Here is a 6,000-nt window from a genome sequence, read left to right on the forward strand (position 1 = left end):
AAGCTCCAAATCTTGAAAGGAATAATATCAAAAAATTTCTGAACTGTGTTAAAATGACCACAGCTCTGCTCTTTGGGTGGCTAAAAATTTCCATATTAAGGGTGGGAAGTGCTTTTCTCCCCCAGGAAATTCAAGCCAGAAGAGTGAACCAGGCTAGAAAAACTTCACTGCCTAAGAAGTTTATGCAGGTGTCACATTAGATAGCAGTTTACAGGTCTCTTTATTTCTTGGTTTCTTAAAAAATTCAGACAATACCATAGAAATAATGCAATGGTAGGTGACACCTGCAGTTTTTGCCTTCTTGGGATCCATTCCTTTCTGCCAATTTTACCTTGGGGAACCTCCATTCACTTCTCTTAATCTATATGGAACTGATTATTTGAATCCACTTCATTCAGTTCCTAAGATGTACATGTGAGCCAGGCCTGACAAATGAGCATATTCCATTACCCTGGCCATAGTGGTTAATACTGGGACAGGCATAGAAACTACATGGGTTCAATTAAAGTTGTGTTGGAACTATTGGGAGCAGTTTTCTTTCTGTAGGGTTTCTTATGTTCCTTCTATCGTATTAGGAGGGTTTGCCTGATAATGAAGTCAGCACAGAGGAGAAATGGCACCAAGAAACGGGGAAAGGGAAAGAGACAGACAGAGAGAAAAAGACAGAGTGACAGAAAAAGAGTGGGTGTGTCTTGGTGGTATCATTAATCACACCTAGAAAATCTAACATGACTCAGGCCTGCTCTATTGCTGGAGTTTTTAAGCCATAAGCCAATAAAATTCCTAATTTGATTATTTTAGTGGCAATAAAAATTCAAATATACAATTACAAGTAATAATATCTCTCTCTTTTTATTATATATTAGGACATGTGCTAAGACCTTAATACCATCTTATTTATTTCTTAACATTTTGAGGGAGATACTATTATTCTTTTTTAAAGATGAGGTTCACTGAGGGTGAGACACTTGTCATCAATCATCCTTCTAAGGAATAGATAAGTTGGAATGAGAATCAAGTCTTGTGTGACTAGGAAGCCACTCTCATCACTGTGCCGCCTTGCCCATATTTATTGGGGAATTTTCAAAAACCTACTGATCCAATTATTTAGGTAAGAGTAGTGATTACTACCAATTACTCAGACCCTGGTCTTCTGCGAAACTTATATGCATTGTCGCACTCAATCCTCACGTTGACTTTAGGATGGAAATATTACCATGCTCATTTCACAGATGAGGAACCTGACGGTCAGAATAGTTTTGACCCAGATATATCTGACAAGAGTCCACAAATATTTGCTTGAATTCCAGTCATGATTCAACTAATAGAGTCTGTGGCTATTTTAGAAAGAACATTGGGATCCAGTTCAAAATGGGTTTTTAAAATATTTCCTATTAGGATAACCAACTTATCTCAGTTTTCCCAGGACCTTTCCAGTTTTAAAACTGAAAGGTAAGCTGTTCACCCCACCTCCCACAGGCAGTGGCAAATGGAAGGAGACTAGAACATTTGTCCGTTGTTGGCAGATATTTTAAAAAGGGAATTAGGGGCCAGAGACCGCTTCCCACCCAATCAAGAGAGAGAACAGACCTCCTTTTAGGATTTGGGAAAGGCAAGAAACCCAGAGAAGCCTGGCTTCCTTAATAGCTCATCTACAGGATACGCTTAAAAGGTTGAACCTGGGGGTGTTCCAGTGATGAAGATGCCCTGAACATCTGTTCCCAAATTTCCTGCGCCTAGAAGACATGCTTTAGTTAATCAGCACTTTCAGTCCCAGCAGGTGGTGGCCTTTGTCAATACATGAACCTTCTGAAGTGGGAACCTGTCTTTAGAGTAGCTGTAGGTGATAGACAGGATGCAGATCACAGAGCCAGAAGTCTTAGGTTTGCACCCAGCTCTGTCACTAACTCTTGTGTCACCTCTCGGCCTTGGTTCCTCTCATCCTTAAAATAGGTTGGGTAGTGAGCCCCTTAGAGTTTTGCAGTGTAAATTAATGAGTTAACATGCATTGATGCTTTGAATGCTGAAAGGTTTTTGAATACAATGGATTCTGGTAATGATCAATTTTAAAAAGTCTACCTCTTTGAAATCAATACCTCTATAGCTTAGGTTTTCATTTATGTTTTTTTAATTATGGACACTTCTGAAGGATTCCATCCATAGACTGCAAATTTACAAATAACTCTGTATGGCAGGAAAAATATTATCCCTCACAAATGTCCATGTCCTAATCCCTAAAACCTGTGATTATGTTACTTGGCAAAGGAGAATTAAAGTTGCGGATGGAATTAAAGTTGGTAATCAGCTGACGTTAACAAGGGTCCTTAAACGTGGAAGAGAGAGGTGGAAGAGTCGATGTCAGAGTGATGTGGCGTGAGAGATATGTGACTGACCATTGCTGGCTCTGATGGTGGAGGAAGGGGTCACGGCCAAGGAACGCAGGCAATCTCTAGAACTGGAAATGGCAAAGAAGTGGAATCTCCTCTACAGCCTACAGAAGAAACATAACTCTGGCGACACCTTAATTTTAGCTCACTGAAACCCATTGCAGACTTCTGAACTCCAGAAATGTAAGATAATAAATTTGAGTCATTTTTAGTCACCAACTTTGTAATGATTTGTGATAGCAGCAACAGAAAACTAATACACTCTCTAATCAAAATAATCCACAAGAAATATATGTAGGATTGTCATGGGAAGTGAAGCAATCACTCATCGGGAGATGGAGTATTTACTCATGCTTCTCTGAGGAGCCTGGGAATGAGCTGTTTAAGAACGGAAGGCATGATGCTTAATGGATGCATCTCCAGAATCTCTTATAGGCTATTGTGATCCATAGGAAGTCAGGAAGACCTCTTTGAAGGTAAAGGTTGATAAAATCTGGCTGGGCATGGTGGCTCATCCCTGTAATCCCAGCACTTTGGGAGGCCAAGGTGGGCAGATCACCTGAGGTCAGGAGTTCGAGACTAGCCAGGCCAACATGGTGAAACCCAGTCTCTACTAAAAATACAAAATTAGCCAGGCGTGGTGGCAAGTGTCTGTAGTCCCAGCTACTCAGGAGGCTGAGGCAGAAGAATCACTTGAACCCAGGAGGCGGAAGCTGCAGTGAGCCTAGATCATGCCACTGGACTCCAGCCTGGGTGACAGAGTAAGACTCCGTCTCAAAAATAAATAAATAAGGCCTGGCGAGATGGCTCACGCCTGTAATCCCAGCACTTTGGGAGGCCAAGGCGGGCGGATCACGAGGTCAAGAGATTGAGACCATCCTGGCTAACATGGTGAAACTCTGTCTCTATTAAAAATACAAAAAATTAACTGGGCGTGGTGGCACAGGCCTGTAGTCCCAGTTACTCAGGAGGCTGAGGCAGGAGAATCGCTTGAACCCAGGAGGCGGAGGTTGCAGTGAGCCAAGATCGTGCCACTGCACTACAGCCTGGGTGACAGAGTGAGACTCTGCCTCAAAATAATAATAAATAAATAAACAAAGTTGGTAAAATCTTCACCCATTTCACTTCTAACGTATACTTCCAAAGCCATCTAAACCACTCTTGGCTCCCCTGTCTAGGTTAACTGCGATCAATGTTTGAGAATAAATGACAAAGGCAGCTGGTGTTTCTTGTGAGGTAGTTTGAAATGTGGCATTTTTCCCATTTTCTCTAAAGGAGAGGAAGTGTAGCAAAATAGCAAAAGGGGTGCAATTTGAAATTCAACTGACCAGGATGAAATTGTGCCCCCAACACTTACAAGCTGTGTGACCTTGTGCAAGTTACATAGCATCCCCAATAATGTTTTCCCACTGATAAATTTGGGCTGCTTAGAAAACCTCCCTGAAGATGGAGGGAAATTAAACAAAATAATGAAAGTAAAGGGTTTTTCATGATGCCTGCCTCATGGTAAATTCTCCAGAAATATTAACTATTTTGCTATTGCCCACTTCTAATCTGAAGGATTAGAAAAGGAAATTAAGAAGGAAACAATGAAAGCAACCCAGCATGCTAAATGTCCTGTGAGAGAATGGGCACAGCAGGATAGTAAGAGGCTGACAGTGAAACCCAGAAAATGAAGGGGAGTAGGCAAATACCGACTTCGGTGCTGGCAAATCTTTGCAACGTGGCTGACTCAATCCTTATGAAAGGGTTGCTCCCTCTGCCATTCTTTCCAGGCATATCAAAACCTGTGTTTAAAAAAGGCCAACTATGTGTTTGTGTGTAGTAAGTAATTATTAAAATTCATTTGCAGCCCCGGGTGCTAGTGTTTTACTAATGTCTTCATGCTGCTAAGAGGATTCAAGGGTTCTATCAGGGTGTGCGTAATTTAGTGGGCAGGGCAGGGGCTTTGGAGTCACACAGACCTCAGTTCATATCTTCACTCTGCTACTTTCCAACTGCCCATCCTCCTGTCCATGAAAGGGAAGTAATGTTACCCACCTTCCAGAGATCTTTTCAGGATTAAATGTGATACACAGGTGAGGGGCTTGCACATTACCAGGAGTACTTGGCATAGCAGTAGTTATGTATTACTGGTATGAATTATTTGGGATAAAAAGGCTTGATTCTAGTACCGGCTGTATTACTTAATATGACCTGGGGGAAATCCTAAACCAATTCTGAGGTTGTTCCTCCTCCTGTACAAATAGGATAAATGAAAAGTACTACTTTATGAGGCTGTTGTGTGTCAGATTAGGCAATGCTTGGATGTAAAAGTCTTATGTTTTGAGTAAATTGGAATATAAATTTTCCTACTTGTACCAAAAGGCCCTGTTGTCCCCATTTCTCTCTCCTAGTACCCTGCCTCACTGGCTGGCACATTCACCACTGACTTGTGTTAAGGTGGTGAAATTCTAGCACTTAAAGTCTCCTGGATAATGCTTCATGTGGTTGAGCTCCATAGACACAGGTGAGGAAGTGACAGAAGTGCAGGGAGAGGGTAAAGTGAACAATTGATGTCCTCTTCTGTAACAGGCAGGAGTAAATTTCTGGATTCTAGCAGTAGAGCAGGGGCTACATCAGCACAAGTAACATAAAGGCCTGGATACACAAGGAACTACCAGGAATAACTGCCTATGTGTCTGGTACTACATCATTTACTTTCCCCAAATATAACCCCACTTAATCTTCCCAACTAGAAATCATTTTCCTCATTTTCTAGCAGAGAAAACTGAGGCCCAGAGAGGTTAAGTAGACTATCTACAATCACACAGAGAGCAAAGAGTAGACCTAGGACGTGTTCTGGCTCCAAAGTTGATGCTCTTTCCACTCATCTATATTATATTCCTGAAATTCCAGTTTGATTATATCATGACTCTTCTGAGACCCAGGTTAACTCAGACACTAATAGGATTAAATTCTATAAATAACATGCTTAAACCATTAAACTAGATAAGTTTAGGGAACATATTAAAACTTTTGATGTACTGTAAGCCTTGTAATAATCTTAGAATTTCCCACTTGCCAGGTTTCATTGGTTGTAGTGTGCAACCATTGACATTTTCCACATAGCATTTTCTAAGGTATATCCCATAAAATACTATAATTATTAATGACAACAAAAACTACAACTGCCACAATTAAACTACAATTAAACTCCACAATCCAAATTTACAGAGGGTTTATCATAAGCTAGGCACTGGTTAAATGATTTAAATGGACTATCTCATTAAATACTTAAAATGCTCTTTTGAAGTAGATGCTTTTATCTTCATTTTATAAAAGAAAAAAACAAGTCTTGGAGTAATTATTCATCTGAGAAAAGTAAGTTACATTCTCAAATATGTTTTGGACCAATTTAATTAAACCAAGTTGAGACTTGGATGTCAGCATGATAGAATAGTTGGTCTCTTGCTCACATCTCCCACACAGACAACAATCTGGCAGCCATTCACAAGCAAGAGTGCCTTTGTGGGAGCTTTTGGATCTAGGGTAAAGGTTGTGAAACCCTGATGAAGCCCCAAACTGAGAAGAGCTGATTTGAGAATGGGGACACGTAACCCTGGTATCAGGC

Source organism: Homo sapiens, chromosome 3 (genome assembly GCF_000001405.40).
Source record: "Homo sapiens chromosome 3, GRCh38.p14 Primary Assembly".
NCBI lineage: Eukaryota > Metazoa > Chordata > Mammalia > Primates > Hominidae > Homo > Homo sapiens.